Below are 16772 nucleotides of genomic sequence, written 5' to 3'. Positions count from 1 at the left end.
TACAGATTCTTAAGAATTCTTATCATTTTAAGTGCTTTAAGGTATTATTTATAAGCCACCTAAATGCAATATTCTATTGTTGATTATAAATATATATATAATTAGATCTGTTAAACACATATGTATGTTCTTTTAAAAATAAAATGCATTTTGTATTATATTCTTAGTTGTATACCCAATAACTATCTGGAACTATCAAGTTTTTAGGCATAATTAAAAACCTACCTAGGCCATACTGGTAATGATTTAAATAATATATGGGCAGCCACCCAGATAATACCACCTAGGCAGCATATGAGAATGAATAAAGAAAAGACAGGAATCAGCTACAGTGACAGAGAATGTACACTCTTTAAAAGGTGACAGGTGTCAGCTCTGGAGGGAAGGCAGTGGCCAAAGGATCATGCCGGAACACTCACTTGCTGATTTATGAAGCTTCCCCGGTGTCAGTCTGGGAGCATGATGTGATGCTCTATTTATGGACCAGAGTTAGGTACAAAGAAAGGAAGCCATCAAGAAAAGCCCATCACTGTCAGATGCCATCCCACCCCCCAGAGACCCCAGGACGACCACAGTGGGGAGGCTCATGCTCAACTCCTGCCCCCTTGGTGGGGAACGGTGTCTGTTTCTATTGTAATCCCCAACCCTATGGAACACTTTTAACTCAGGAACTACCTTCTTAGAGTGACCTTTATCTTTAAAATGAAAAAATAAAAAAAGAAAGGAAAAGAAAAAAGTGGGAAAAATTGCAAACATCAAGGCAGTCCTTACCTAAAGCAGGTTTCTGGTTTAACTGCTCAGTCACAGTTACACAGAAAAGTTTTCACTCAAATGATACAGGTGAGTAGGGTGGATTTGCAGGGAGCAAAGTAATTTTCAGAAACGATATTCTGAAAATTTTAACAGTATATACTTGCATTGTATTTAGCATGTGAAATTTCTATAACACTAATGGAAAAATTCTGGGAGGAGTTTAACTACAAATCTGGTACCTGGTAAGTGTGATTCACAAACAACTTGGCAAGTCAGTATTCTGATTATCTCTTTTTATTTTAATTTAGAGGTGGTCTGGTAGATAATGACACATGCTTACTAAAACTTGACAAATTTGAAGACAAAAATTCAAACAGGGCTATTTTAATCATAGGTATCTAAGATAATTGGCTAAGATAGCCAATTATAAATATTAAGAAATAATCCAAGTTTCCAAGTGAAGTTTTTAACACAATGTTAAATAATCACTTTATCTGTAACAGCCTATTGACTTGTTCATAAATTCACTCAGCAAATAAGAACACGGACACATATTTCATTTATTCACATGTCCTTAGGAGCTGGAATCTGAATGTTTCCATTTGCATACGTGTGGATGCAATCAGAGCATTATATTAAACAAGTGGAGAGGGAAAGTCCTTACTTTGTGCTTAAGTCTTCTTCTTTAGACACTGGAAATGGAGTCACTGCTGCTCTCCATTTCCTGTTGCTCCTTAATGACAAAAAGAATCTTTTTACAGACACTTAGCTATCTAAACCCAGGACAAAACAATCCCACAGATGAGAGAGGGTAAAAGCTGCCAAGTTTGCAGACTCTGGCATTACATGTGGTCCTTCCCTGAGGTAGACTGGAATTCTTCAAAATCACATGGGAGCAATTCACATTCGGTAGAAAGCAGAGGTAACCCTCTGTGAAGGCAAATTGGACCAACATGTTCCTTCGATCCTTAAAACATCCCAGACTCAGCAGACTTTTTGTTTGTTTTAAGTTCCCTGTAATAGGTCACGTACTTACTAGGAGTCGGGGCAAAAAATTAAAACTGGAATGGTATCTGCTCTATAGGTATAACATTCTAATGAGAGGATAGGTGAAAAATAATTACAACTAATAGAATATAAACATGTAACTATGACAGTAAGTGTGAGAAATGTAGCTAGCTCCATTTTCTGGGTCTCTGGGGTAAAGGAAATAAGAAAAGGAAGACCAAGATTTCAAATCAGACTTCTTATTTCCTATTCTTCCTGCTAGTTTTCAAAGAATAACTTGACAAATATGAGTAGGCAAATACTACCAATGGAGGCCAGATAACTCCTTAAAAGTAGAGATTTCACAGTGACATTCATTTTTAACTGTATATAGCCATGAGGTTTTCTTAATAACAAGATTTCATAAGACCAAGGCTAGCATTAAGGTTAAGAGCCAGACTACTTGCACAGCCATTCTGCCACTGACTTCGTCATGTATTTAGGGGCTGGAGGTATGTTAAGCCAAGTGCTTGGAAGGCTGATTGTCTGTAACGATGAAATGCCAAGTCACTGAGGAGTTCACGGCACCCTCAGCTTTACTACATGGACACAATCAATACCTTCATAGGGATGTGTAGAATCAACTTTATGAGAACCAAATTGGCACATTACAACACTTCTTTCAAGGTATGCATTAAGTTCATTATTTTTTCTCATTTAAATTGCAAATTTCATGTCTCTGATCAAGACGAAGACAAGTCTCTCATTTACAAGCTCAGATTTTTGCCTGCTAAGTTTTACAGGAAACAACAAAGTTAATGCGGCAGAGAAACATCATGTCCCCTTTTTTGGAAGACAATTAGAAAAGAAGGTCCAGTTGTCCAATAACTAATGGAAGTGTCAGGGTAACTTCCATAAAACCTTGTCAAAATTGTTAAGTGAGAAGACCCAAGGGCTAATTCAGCATATTAAAAAAATATGTATTAACCTTTGTAACAGTACTAATGTACACAACAAGATACAATGTTTTTTAAATATCTTTTTCTAAACTACCATAACTTGTTAAGGCCTAAATATCATGCAGAAAATTCAGTGTCTTGAAGAATACAGAAAAAGACTTATATATTTATGAAATGAAATACAGGGCAAAATTATACATATGGGTTTAACTGCCACCCCAGTAGCCTCTCTTATGCTGGGAGCTCAAGGAAAAAAAGTTCCCAAGTAGGCTATAAAGGATGCAACAGATAAAGTGAATAAAGAGAGTATACCTAGCAGTGAGGCCACCTAGGTCTTCAAAAGATGTTTTAACAACTTGGAAGTCTAAATTAGAGCAATTGCAAAGACTTTTTATACTATATTTTCTACACAGAATGTTCTGAAATTCTTTGGTAACCATTCATAAGATTGTACAATTAGTTGATACTCTATTCAGAATACTAGATGATGAAATATTTATATAATTTTCCATTCCATGGTAGTAATACTAACTTCAAATATGGTAACATGGCCAAATACAATGTTTAAATAAATAACACAATTTTATCAATGGAAGATAATCCAGTCAATTTACTCAAAGATGAGATATTTAGGTCTAAAGGGGCTAACAGGCTTACTCAAATTTGTACAGTTTGTCACAGAGCTGGTAGACAAGATTTTAAACTGATAGTATAATGAACTTATCACCATTTGGTACCTCCTACGGGCCAGATGCTGAACCATGTAAGTGCAAGAAAGAATAAAGAAACATCATAAATAGCAATGAGTTGACATTTGTAACTTTTTCTATGAGACATAAATATGTATGAGGCATCTATCTATGAAACAATTGGCCTGGACTGCTTAAAAACCTCTGTGTCGGCCGGGCGCGGGGGCTCACGCCTGTAATCCCAGCACTTTGGGAGGCCGATGCAGGCGGATCACGAGGTCAGGAGATCGAGACCATCCTGGCTAACCGGTGAAACACCATCTCTACTAAAAATACAAAAAAAAATTAGCCGGGAGTGGTGGCGGCGCCTGTAGTCCCAGCTACTCGGGAGGCTGAGGCAGGAGAATGGCGGGAACCCGGGAGGTGGAGCCTGCAGTGAGCCAAGATGGCGCCACCGCACCCCAGCCTGGGCGACAGAGTGAGACTCCGCCTAAAACAAACAAACAAACAAAAAAAACACTTCTGTGTCATTAAATATTTTTTAAAAGGCTGGAAAAAGTTTTCAAACTAAGAGATAGAACAAGAGAAAAGGAAAAACAGATATTGGGCCAAAGGCAATGCATAATCCCGAATTAAATCTTGTGTCAAAAACATTATGATAGATGCAATTGAATCAATTGGGGATATCTGGTTATGGAATTTTTATAAATAATAAGATTATATCAATATTAAATTTCCTGAGTGTGAAAATATTGTGATTATGTAGAAGAATGTTTCTTTCTTTTTTCTTTTTTTTCTTTTTTTTAAATTTTGAGACAGAGTTTCTCCCTGTTGCCCAAGCTGGAGTGCAGTGGCAGGATCTTGGCTTACTACAACCTCCGCCTCCTGGGTTCGAGCTATTCTTATGCCTCAGCCACGCAAGCAGCTGGGACTACGGGCACATGCCACCACATCTGGCTAATTTTTGTATTCTTAGTAGAGAGTGGGTTTTGCCATGTTGATCCGGCTGGAGATACATGCTGGAGTACTTATGGGTAAAGTATCACCATCTGCAAATAACACACTCAAATGGTACGTGTTGTACATACAGAGAGAGATAGACTTCAGCAAAATAGTAACAAATATTGCATCTAGGTGATGGGTAATGCTTGCTACTCTTTACTCTTTGAAATTTCTATATACTGAAATTTTTAAAAATAGAAAAGTTGGGGATAAAAGAAGACAGCTCTATGGAGTCAGAAGATAGGTTCTCTTGGTAAAGATTGAGATACGGCATGAGAGGGCTTCTGTGGTGCTTTTCATGGTCTATTTCACAATCCAGGTGCTGGTGATACAGATGTGTTCAGTTTGCAAAAATTCATCAAGCTGGATACTTAAGCCTTCTTGTTACTTTTCTGTATATATGTTATACTTCAATTAAAAGTTTACAAAAATATAGGAGTTAGGGAATGTGGACAACTAATGAATATATCAACAAATTATCACTGATTTTTTTTTTAATTTATTTTTTTATTGATAATTCTTGGGTGTTTCTCACAGAGGGGGATTTGGCAGGGTCATGGGACAATAGTGGAGGGAAGGTCAGCAGATAAACAAGTGAACAAAGGTCTCTGGTTTTCCTAGGCAGAGGACCCTGCGGCCTTCCGCAGTGTTTGTGTCCCTGATTACTTGAGATTAGGGATTGGTGATGACTCTTAACGAGCATGCTGCTTTCAAGCATCTGTTTAACAAAGCACATCTTGCACCACCCTTAATCCATTTAACCCTGAGTGGACACAGCACATGTTTCAGAGAGCACAGGGTTGGGGGTAAGGTCACAGATCAACAGGATCCCAAGGCAGAAGAATTTTTCTTAGTGCAGAACAAAATGAAAAGTCTCCCATGTCTACTTCTTTCCACACAGACACGGCAACCATCCGATTTCTCAATCTTTTCCCCGCCTTTCCCCCCTTTCCATTCCACAAAACCGCCATTGTCATCCTGGCCCGTTCTCAATGAGCCGTTGGGCACACCTCCCAGACGGGGTGGTGGCCGGGCAGAGGGGCTCCTCACCTCCCAGTAAGGGCCGCCGGGCAGAGGCGCCCCTCACCTCCCGGACGGGGCGGCTGGCCGGGTTGGGGGGCTGACCGCCCCCACCTCCCTCCCGGACGGGGCGGCTGGCCGGGCGGGGGGCTGACCCCCCCACCTCCCTCCCGGACGGGGTGGCTGGCCGGGCTGAGGGGCTCCTCACTTCCCAGTAGGGGCAGCCGGGCAGAGGCGCCCCTCACCTCCCGGACGGGGCGGCTGGCCGGGCGGGGGTCTGACCCCCCCACTTCCCTCCCGGACGGGGTGGCTGGCCGGGCGGAGGGCTGACACCCCCACCTCCCTCCCGGACAGCACGGCTGGCCAGGCGGGGGGCTGACCCCCCCACCTCCCTCCCGGACGGGGCGGCTGGCCGGGCAGAGGGGCTCCTCACTTCCCAGTAGGGGCAGCCGGGCAGAGGCGCCCCTCACCTCCCGGACGGGGCGGCTGGCCGGGCGGGGGTCTGACCCCCCCACCTCCCTCCCGGACAGCACGGCTGGCCGGGCGGGGGGCTGACCCCCCCACCTCCCTCCCGGACAGCACTGCTGGCCAGGCGGGGGGCTGACCCCCCCACCTCCCTCCCGGACGGGGCGGCTGGCCGGGCGGGGGGCTGACCCCCCACCTCCCTCCCGGACGGTAAAAAGGCTTTATACCAGCCTGGCCCTACTATTTAAATGTGCAAATGATAAATATGGAATGTCACTAATGCTAAAGTAATAATAAAAAGAGTTGTTTTACACCTCATTTTCTACGTCTGGTTCAATTTTTACACAAATGCCACATACCACTTTTTTATTTTTTATTTTGAGATAATTGTAGATTCGTACCCAGCTACAAGAAACAATACAAAGATAAATTGCACCCTTTACCTAGTTTCCACCAATGGTTACATCTTGCAAACCTATAGCACAATATCACAACCAGAGTATCAACATTCATGTAGCATCTCTACACATCTATGTATGTTTCTGTATTAGAATGGATCCTCTAATCAGACTGTTTCTATGCAGTGGGAAGTTGATGAAATATGTAGTTGATTCAAACATAATTACAACTTAAGAACAGAACTCTATGTGTATATGAATATATCAATTTTATCTGTATGTATGTCTGCCTAGCTATACATCCATCCTTTGAGAGAAACCATTTTTGACTATGCTAGAAATAAGTTTGAAATATAGATTTTTTTTTAAAAAAAGTAACAGTAAGATATTCAGTTCAAAGATTATAAACCATGAGTATTCAGTGCACTTTTCTTGAGCTCTTAGTATGTGTCCCAGACCATGTCCAAATATTAGGTGTAAGTTGGTGAACAAAACAAATAGAATTGTCAGTCAGGTTGAGAAAACAGACATCAAACACATGAACATACAGTTATAATTTCAAATTATTATAAATACTGTAGCATGCGACAATGGAACATTATGAAAGAAAAGAGCAGGAGGACTCTAAATTGATGCCAGCAATTATAGTTGACCTCTGTGATTAAAGAGTTTAAAAATACACAGCATTGTGAAATGAATGGTTTACAACACAACAACACAACATATGACATTGGGTTATTGGACTCTCTGTAAGTTAGCAGTTGAATGATTAGCAGGACTACCATCAGAATCAGCTATGCCTCTGCCTTACATGAATGAATAGAAATTTCTGAATGATTTATGTAACATAAAATAACTTTTGTAAAATCTATGTATAGATTCTTTATTCTTGATGCATGTTTAGATGGCAAGAGGAATCCTTTAACTATATACATTTTAAAAGCTGATAGACATCTTTGATATCAGGAACTACAAAAACATTGCATAGAATTCAAATGAAGCAAAATCTGTAACACTGCCTTTATTGAAAACTCAAAAGTAATACCCTTGGCCAGGTACGGTGGCTCACACCTGTAATCCCAGCACTCTGGGAGGAAGAGGCAGGCGGATCACCTGAGGTCAGGAGTTCGAGACCAGCCTGGCCAACGTGGTGAAACCCTGTCTTTACTAAAAATACAAAAAAAAAAATTAGCTGGGCATGGTGGCGCATGCTTGTGATCCCAGCTACTTGGGAGGCTGAGTCAGGACAATTGCTTGAACCCAGGAGGCCAAGGTTGCAGTAAGCCAAAATTGTGCCACTAAACTCCAGCCTGGGAGACAGAGCAAGACTCCATCTCAAAAGAAAAAAAAGAAAAGAAAAAAGAAAGTAACATTGCTAAATGCTAAACTGCAGGATTCTGAATGTCTCTGACCTCTAGTGCTGATCTCCCTAACGCAGGCCTCAATGCTTTAAACCCATGTGTAGCCTTATTAGAGGAAAGAATAAATACATAACATTTATAAAGCATACGTTATTTGATTCATAAAAGAGGGAGATGGTTCTTCATGTCCTTAGCCATATCACTTTTAATCAGGGAGAGAGTGACACAGAGGCAGGTGTGTACTGTTTCCATTATGTAAGTTTCCAGAACTCACTAAGACGCTGAACTTGGCATCCATAAAATGGTATTTCTTGGATCTTACGTACGGAAACAGTTGTTTATCTGCCTGAAAGCTATTTTAATGAAACACAGAAGACAACGGTAATTCTTTTCCTAGCACGATACCTTCATGTTCATTCTTTGTCTGGAGGACATCTAAATGTGTAAGGTCAATACTTATGAAGCTAAATATTATTTTAATATCTATCCACCATTCAGAATTATATATTTAAACCATCCAATAATTTCAAATTAAATGGTGAAAATAAAAAATACAGTACAAATATACACCATGTTGTTATTAGTGTATGGACATAATATTTGTTCTTAAGCTGTTTTATTTTTTTCTCCTGAGCTGTCGTGTTTTACAGAGTATGGTTTTCTGCCATATGCCCTATTTTTTTTTTAATACTGAGAAGCTATGACATAAGAAGGTTTGCAAATGTTCCAAGTTAAAATATGATAAGTTAACTCTCAAATTTTTACAAATTGAATTCAAGAAGAGATGAATTATATCTATAGCTTCTTTAGAAAAAGATGACTTTTTAACACATTACTGGTACGGCTGAATTTGCACTAGAGAAATATTGTGGGTACATTACTGTCAAACCATGACTTTGTAGATAATTTGGATGAAGTTATTAATTTGAGGATTACATGGAATGTTTCTGTACAGAAGAAGAACTACATGCTTTAGTAAAAAACCATGACAACAGAAAAAGGGGTAAGAAAGGAGAAAGATGAAGGAGAGAGAAAAGAATAAGGGAAATTGAATGACTGCTTCTTGCCTTAAGAAAGGCTAAGAAAAAAAAAACGTATTTTCAGAAAACACCTGGGAATAAATAAAGCTAACTTACTGATTTTCAAACTGAATTGTGTATTTTGAAATGTGATTTCTTATAATAAGCAAAAAATAAAATATCTCTGGGCTATATTTCAGAAAATAAAAAACCAATTGCTATGAAATCACTATCTAAATAATGTTCAACTACTTTACTCTCTTCAGGTTATGCAAAAGTATTTAAAAGTGACACACTACTGAAAATAATTTAAAATCTTTTAACCTTAGTTTTAATATCATCTAAGAGTGTGTACACACATTTGTCCTTAATAAAGAGTCCAAACATTGCTTGAAGAGTGGTCATCAGAGACATTTAATACTATACTAAATTAACACTGGTGGTACGTAGTCAAATGAAGCCTATATTTGAATAGTCCCATATTGCTTCATATGCAAATTAAGCATAAAATGGTGCTGAGGTTGCATTTTATGCAAGATGGAACTTTGTGTTACAGATGCAAAAATCCAATTCCAAACACATAATTATTATTACGGTCATAATGTGTTTTTCTCAACACCTAAACAAACAACTAAAACCTCCTGGGACCCAGATGCCCTAGGCAGTCATGCTCCATTGAGTCTATCTTTCTGAGAAGTGCAGGCCATGAAGCTTACAGGGAGGGAGCTTTTGTAATCAGCAGCTTCTTTCAAACCACTGGAGTACTCCTTCTTTTACCTATCTGTGGAACCAGTTAACCACTCAGTCATAAAGGATGCTTTAATAACACTCTACATATTCTGAATCCATAGGAAACTGGGATAATTATCATAGTAATAAGTTATTCTTCAGGAGAACAAACTCACAATGCAAGCAGTTCAAAATCAACATACAATTTTACACTCAAGTTCTATGTTTTACTTTAAAATTACAGTCTCATTATTTCTGGAGGTCAATATAAACTGTAACTCCGGGGTAATTACATGCCAAGACTGCAGTAATTACATGCTCAGAATCTATCTTAAAGTAGCGGTACTAAAACTGTAGTTCAAATATGACTTTCTGTACCACATGTAGGCAACTGCTCACATCTAAACTGCATGGTGTGTCCCATAGACAGTCTAAATGGTTTCGCCACAGTTACTGAAATGTATTACATATATCAGTTTATAGAACAGAATAATTCAGGTAAAGAAATAACTTGACTCCTTTTTTCATTATATCAGCCTCTCTGACATAATTATAAGGATATATTATTAAGAGGGTACATTTCAGTAATTTAAAAATGTCTAATTCAGCCAGTAATCAATCCAATGAAAATATCTCAAAATCATGTGAATGGAATTGCATAAATACAATTTATCTACAAATACATCATCACCATGTGTAAGAAAAAAGTATTTTCCAAAAAAACTTTATAAAATAATTATCATTCTTTCTTTCAAATAAATGTTTAAAACTCTGAATTCTTTTAGTCACCTTTGTACGTAAAATGCTACCATATGTAAAGTATTTTATTCACTGGGAAAGATTATATCTATTTATTTGTGAAATAAATAAGTTTTATAAAAATTACATTGAAAATCGTGTTTTGTATAGTTGCCCTTTACAATTATTATTAGGCTAATAATCGCCAGAGAAACTATAATCATGTTTTGTGTTTGTGGTGAACAGGGGCATACATACAAATCTGTAATGCCTGGTGAATCTATATATTTTTTCTTCATTCTCTCTCCCTTTATTTTTTCTTACAGCTAACTTCCAGACTAATGAAGAGGCAAGGGGATAATTTCAGAAGAAACAAAGAACTTCTAAAACGTAATAAACCACTGACAATATAATGTTTACATATTTAATCCCATTGCTGAAGAAACTTCAAAGATAAAGGATAATATTAAGTATAGGAATTTGAAATATACTTTGGTAATTACCTTACTTTTCAGCTGCACACAAGTAGGACTTCTCCATAGTTCTTTCTAAAACAGGATTTTTATTTAACTTACACACTTTTATAATTTCAATATGTTTATATGAGCTACCCTGAATTTTACATCCTTATTAAATTACCCAAGTTTGATCATAGACTAAAGACAAAAATTACTACATTTCTTTTGACAGAGCTTTTAATCCTTCAATTTGGACAGGTAGAGATATATTTTATTTTTATTTTTCAGACAACATTAAACAAATCACTACTTTCACAAGTGCCACTGATGACTAAAGAATGAACAGTATTGAATACAAGTTCTACTGACCAGGCATCCACTCCTTGTGGAAATCCACTATGGAAGAGCTGGGTAAGGACTGCAAGGACTACTGCCACATCTACATTAGGTGTATCAGGGAACCTGCTAAAACACCCCCTAGTGCAATAGCTGGGAAATTCATCACTAAAATGTAGTAATCATCTTGCACAGTACCAGCAGATTGCACACATTACCTCCTGCAGATTGGAGTGGGAATAACTAAAAGAAAAAGGGTAATGATGGTTGGGGGAAATTGAATTTTCATGGCACTGATCTTCTGTGTCATTCTATTTGCATGAGAACAATGTTAGCTGCAGACATTACAGGACCCTAATGAGAATAGGAGCTTCTCCCGATGGGCAGGAGTCAGGATGGGTGTTGATGAAACCAATCTATCAATGAGATTTTAAAAGGTGCAACAGTCCCTGCCTTGCTCAGAACCCATGTGGGTGGGCCTTCCATCTAAGAAGAGAAGAAATTAAGAATGATGACTTGAGAGAGTTCAAAGCACACTTGCCTCTCTGTCAGCTGGCCCTTAATGATAACGTACTACTGCTTTCCTTAAAGAGCTTCATGTCTTATTCAGGGTAAACGGTGAAAATGTGGCATTTTAGAACCCATGATGTGTTTTTCTATTGATGCTGTCAGTGTGATCAGCCGCTAAAGGAAGAGTTGTTTGTCAGTTCCCATTCTCTTCAGTGATTCATCAAACAGTGGCAGTTCATGCATGCAGTATCAGAAGTGGAATAAATAACTTAACAGCTCCGCACTGAACACTCACATATTTTATTAAGCTGCCACCAACCCCAGGGCAATTCAGCATGTCGGAAGACAAACTCTTCTAGGGGAGTCTCTTAGCACATACTTTTAGTTATGAGCTAAACCTACTGCAAGTATTTATTATCTAAGATATGAAAAACATCTCTTGAGTTGCAAGAGCTAGAGAGGTATTTATCCCCTGGCCCTATTCTTTATGTGATGAGTAAACCAGTAATAATATTCATTTTTAATGTATTCAATTTGTAAACCACTTTTTCTCCAAAGAATTCAACTGTCTCCTTCCTGCAGTATCCCCAGTTACATGTATTAACTTACCTCATATGGTTTGCCGTCTGTTTTTCACACACTGAACTACATCAGTGACTTCAGTGGGTAGTTCTCTAAATCACAGCCATGTAAGGGCAAGTCATAGTCTTCAAACATTAATAACAGGGGCCATTCCCATGAAGCCTGTATTGACCAACGTACTCACTGAGACAGGTTCTACTAACTGCTTTTGGTTATCAATGAGTTCTACCCAATGTTGGCACAGGGGGTTTACTGGGTCCTGGCTGGTGTCCAATACATGCACTGCACATGGTCAACTTAAATATCCTTCAAAGTTTTCAGTTAACCATTTTCACTCCTCGGCTCAGCCTGCAAGAGAACAGCTCTAAAGTATCCTTTTACTGACTGTGTTTAGGGACTAGACAACTTGAATGAGATTAGATTCATTTCATATGAGAATTTTGAGTTGTAATTATTATGTTTCCCTTTCTATTCATTAAATCAAACAACTGAAATATGAACATCTAGGCTAAAAGAAGGGACAATCAGGGCCGTATTCAAGGACTTTCACTGTGTACTATTATTGTTTATCTCCCACAACTCCCCTGAGAAATTTAGAAATATATATGCACTGACATGTAATATCTAAGTGGCAATTTTTGCCCTCCAGAATAAAATATAGATAATCTCTAATATAGAAACAGTGTCTCAAACTCTGATTTAGAATTGGCTTTAGAACACAATGAATTTCCTCATAAGCAATAGCTCCCTTCAACCTACAATAAAGTAAAGCAAGAATACTCAAATCAATTTATGGTCAGCATACCAAAAAATAGGGAACAGACAGTTTCTTCACATATTACTAATTGCTAACAAGTCCTCACCCCATGGACTCCAACAGCCTTCAGTTACCTTGTCTTTTTCAATGGAGGTAAGGAAGATGTGTAAAGAACTGCTCCACTCCCACACAGAAAGCAAAAGAATTCCCCGAGCATAAACTTTTTATAAGTTTCTTTCCTTGGAAATTCAACATGGGAATTGGAGAATCATTAAGCTGCCATAATGAAGTAAAATAAGACTTTCAGCAGAAGACAATGAAGCTGAATATAGTTTACAGTGAAAACATTCAATTGAATTTTAGATATTTTAACCTTTCAATTATATGCTAACCTTAATATACTTAGGAATACTCATTGTTAAGTATGGGATCTCTTAGTAAGTTGGAATAAAACATTGAATTATTTCCTGGTTCTGCTTTAGCAGCAAAAATCAGTGAGTCAAAGGAGAATAATAAGAAAGATAGGGGCGCATCACCTCTATAGACATATAATCAGTGGTATAACAATATGGTTTTCTACATTTAGTGTGTATCAAACTCATCTGTAGGGCCTATTTAATGTGCAGACTCATCATTGACATCACCTGTTTGGTCAATACCAATTACTGGGCTCCATCCCAGAGTTTCTGATTAAGTACATTTGGGGTGGTTGTCCAAGAATTTGTATTTCTACCAAGTTCCCGAGTGATATTGATGTTGCTGTTGTGGGGACCAAACTTTGGGAACAACCGATATAGATAAAAATAATATAAGCATTAGAAACAGAAGAACTCTATTCAAATTCTTGCCTTTTTAATAATTAACTAGCTTAATTCTATTTTTTATACATTCTAATGAATATTCTAATGAATATTTTTATATATTCTAATAAATATTTTTATATATTCTAATTAATATTCTAATAAATATATTAAAAAGTACTAATCACCAGCAGAAATTTGTTAAAATTAAATGAAGTATATTTTATTTACTATTTTACTAAAGTAAAATGCCTGCAATATTACAGGAGCTTAAAAATGTTAAGAATTTATTTCACATACACAACTGAAATCCTTGAAAGAAAACTGATCATTTCTCACAGCAACTTGCAATACACAGGAAAATGTTCCTCCCACTGAATTTCAAATAACTAATATGTATGACAATTGGTTTAACTCATAATGGTTTTCCAGTGTCATAGGTACAATAGCACATTCACAACAGTTCTTAGTGACTGCTGAGCCAGCTGATACTTGGGATTCAATAAAATTGGGATTGACATCAATTTAATTATGAAAAATACAAAATGATTCATATGCATAAATAAACAATCTTACATTGTTTAACACGATCTAAAGTAAAATCAAACCTGACAACATTTGCCATGCATTTTCTACCCAATCTCAACCCTTCTCAACCAGTACAGAAAGACACAAAATTTATAGCAATACTGAAGGTGCCTTGGATTTGAAAGGAGAAGGAGAATGGTGCCCAGTGGACAGGAAAGTTATAAGTTCGGTTTGGATGATGTTGAGATGAAGAAATTTTAAGACAAAGAAAAAACAATTCAGGTAGGCAATGGGTTATGTGGGTACAACTCAGAAGAGAGGCCCAGAGGAAGATGAAAATTTGCATGCTCTCTAGAAAGAGTGGCAATAAAAGCAATGACCACAGATGAGAGCTCCTGAGCAAGAAGAGGAGAAGGCTCTAAAATGTTTAACTGAGGTGGACTGAGCTGTAAAAGGGACCACGAAAGAGGTCAAGAAGGTAAAAAGAAAGCAAGGAAGTGAAAGACCATGGAAGGCAAAGATAACAAGTACTTTAAAGAGGAAAGGGGGAATAGTTAACGACATGAAGTGCTTTTGAGGGGTCAAACGAAGACTGAAAATGTGCAGAGTTTAATAACATGGAGATAACTGGTGACTTTCAAAAGAACTGTTTTAGTAATTAGACCTGAATCCAGAACAGAGTAGCTGTGTTAGTTTTCTGTTAAATAACTATCATGTGTATTCGTTTTCTGTTGCTGTTGTAACAAATTGCTACAATTTACCAGCTTAAACAACACATTTATCATAGAAACCTGTAGAAGTCTGCATGAGTCTTACTGGGCTAAGATCATGTTGTTTACGGGGTTTCTGGAGGTTCTGTGGGACTATCTGTTCCCTCGCCTTTTCCAGGTTCTAAAGGTTACTTTTATTTCCTGGTTGGCAGGCACTTTCTTCTATCTTTGAAACCAGCTAGAGCAAGTGAAGTCCTTCTCATATCAGATGACTCTGATCCCTTATCCCCCTCCACTCTTTCAATTTTAGGGACTCTCTGATTTCACTGAGCCCACTTGGATGATTCAAGATAATCTCCCTATGTTAAAGTCAGATGATGAGCAACTTTAATTCCATCTGCTAATTTAATTCCCCCTTGCTATGAATCTGATATATGCACAGATATATTCAGGGATTAGGACTCAGACATCATTGAGGACCATTATCCTGCCTTCCTATATACCACAGTCATCTAAAGTTTACTGAGCACTGACCATACGTCCAGTAATTTCATTGCCTCAAAAACAATCCATTTTATTTATTTATTTATTTATTTATTTATTTTCCCAAATTTAAAAATGAATATTTATTTTTGAACTTTTAGTTTCAGGGAGTATACGTGCAGGTTTGTTAACTGAGTACACTGTGTAATGCTTAGGTTTGGAGTACAAATAATCCCATCACTCAGGTACTGAGTCTAGTACCCAATAGGTAGCTTTTCAACCCTTCCCTGACTCTTTCTCTCCCCCATCTATAAGTCCCCAGTTTCAGTTGTCGCCATCTTTATGTACCTGAGTACCCAGTGTTTAGCTCTCACTTATAAACCAGAACATGGAGTATTTGGTTTTCTGTTCCTGCCATGATCCACTTAAGATAAGCCTCTAGCTGCATCCATGTTGCTGCAGAAGATATGATTTTCTTTATTTATGGCTCATAGGATTTCATGGCATACATGCACCACATTTTCTTTATACAGTCCACCGCCGATGGTCACCTTGGTTGATTCCATGTCTTTGCTATTGTGAATACTGTTGTGATGAACTTGCCAGTGCATGCGCCTTTTGGTTGGACGATTTGTTTTCTTTTGGATATATACCCAGAAATGGGATTGTTGGTTTGAATGGTCATTCTGTTTTAAGCTATTTGAAAAACCTCCAAAACCACCAAACTACTTTCCATAGTGGTGAACTAATTTACATCCCCACCAAGGATGTATAAATGTTCCCTTTTCTTCACAGCCTCACCAGCGTCTAAAAACAAGCCATTTTAAAATCAACACTTTGAGGACATATTTAGCTAAACATACCTCACTGCCTGTTTTTTTCCTCTGTACCTATTTATTATTGATTGCTTTTTAACAGTTTCGTACTAAGAAAGAAAAACCCATGTTTAGAAATTGATAGAAGATACATTAAACTATGTGTATTTTTTCAAGTGGAAGTGCATTAGGGGATTATTATTAGTGTAGATTATGTTCTCACAAGTTTTTTTTTCAGTTTGATCCCATTATAATTCTGTTAGCAGTCTATTAAGAAGAAACTGCTTTTTCTGATATCTGAAGGGCTGTGAAGTAGCAGATGAAGTAAGCTTGTTCCATCCTGCTCATATTGGCAGAGCCAGAACTAAATGTGTATAGAAAGGAGACAGTTTTCTACTTAAAATAAGAAAGATTCTCCTAAATTTTAGACTTATCTAATAATAGAGTAGATTGGTTTATGAGAGGTGATTGTCTTGTTATAGTAAACATTCAAGAAAATTAAAGGGCTATAACCCGATTATAAAATAGAAATGTCAAAGAATCATTATTAGATGGAGGGTTGGATTGAATCATATCAAGTTTCATCCAAGACAGAATATAAGGATTTAACCTAGATGTCATTTATACCATGAAAATGTGGCTCTGACCTTTTGCGTGTTGGTAGAATTGTTGT

General features: G+C 37.6%; 1 protein-coding gene across 41 annotated transcripts in view, besides 1 other annotated feature; it reads right to left on the bottom strand.

The window, feature by feature from the left end:
* ROBO2 (roundabout guidance receptor 2) overlaps positions 1-16772 on the bottom strand; it is a 1743290-nt gene that overhangs the window by 479507 nt on the left and 1247011 nt on the right. The window lies entirely within an intron of this gene.
* Positions 4795-5523: an enhancer, noted in NCBI's record as "NANOG-H3K27ac hESC enhancer chr3:77214086-77214814 (GRCh37/hg19 assembly coordinates)". NCBI's record gives its function as "activates a minimal SCP1, AML or CMV promoter by ChIP-STARR-seq in primed H9 embryonic stem cells {active_cell/tissue: H9 hESC(primed)}" and the evidence as "EXISTENCE:reporter gene assay evidence [ECO:0000049][PMID:30033119]".

Source organism: Homo sapiens, chromosome 3 (assembly GCF_000001405.40).
Source record: "Homo sapiens chromosome 3, GRCh38.p14 Primary Assembly".
NCBI lineage: Eukaryota > Metazoa > Chordata > Mammalia > Primates > Hominidae > Homo > Homo sapiens.
Note: the sequence above shows the minus strand (reverse complement) of the source record. Positions and strands in the feature narration are given on the sequence as shown.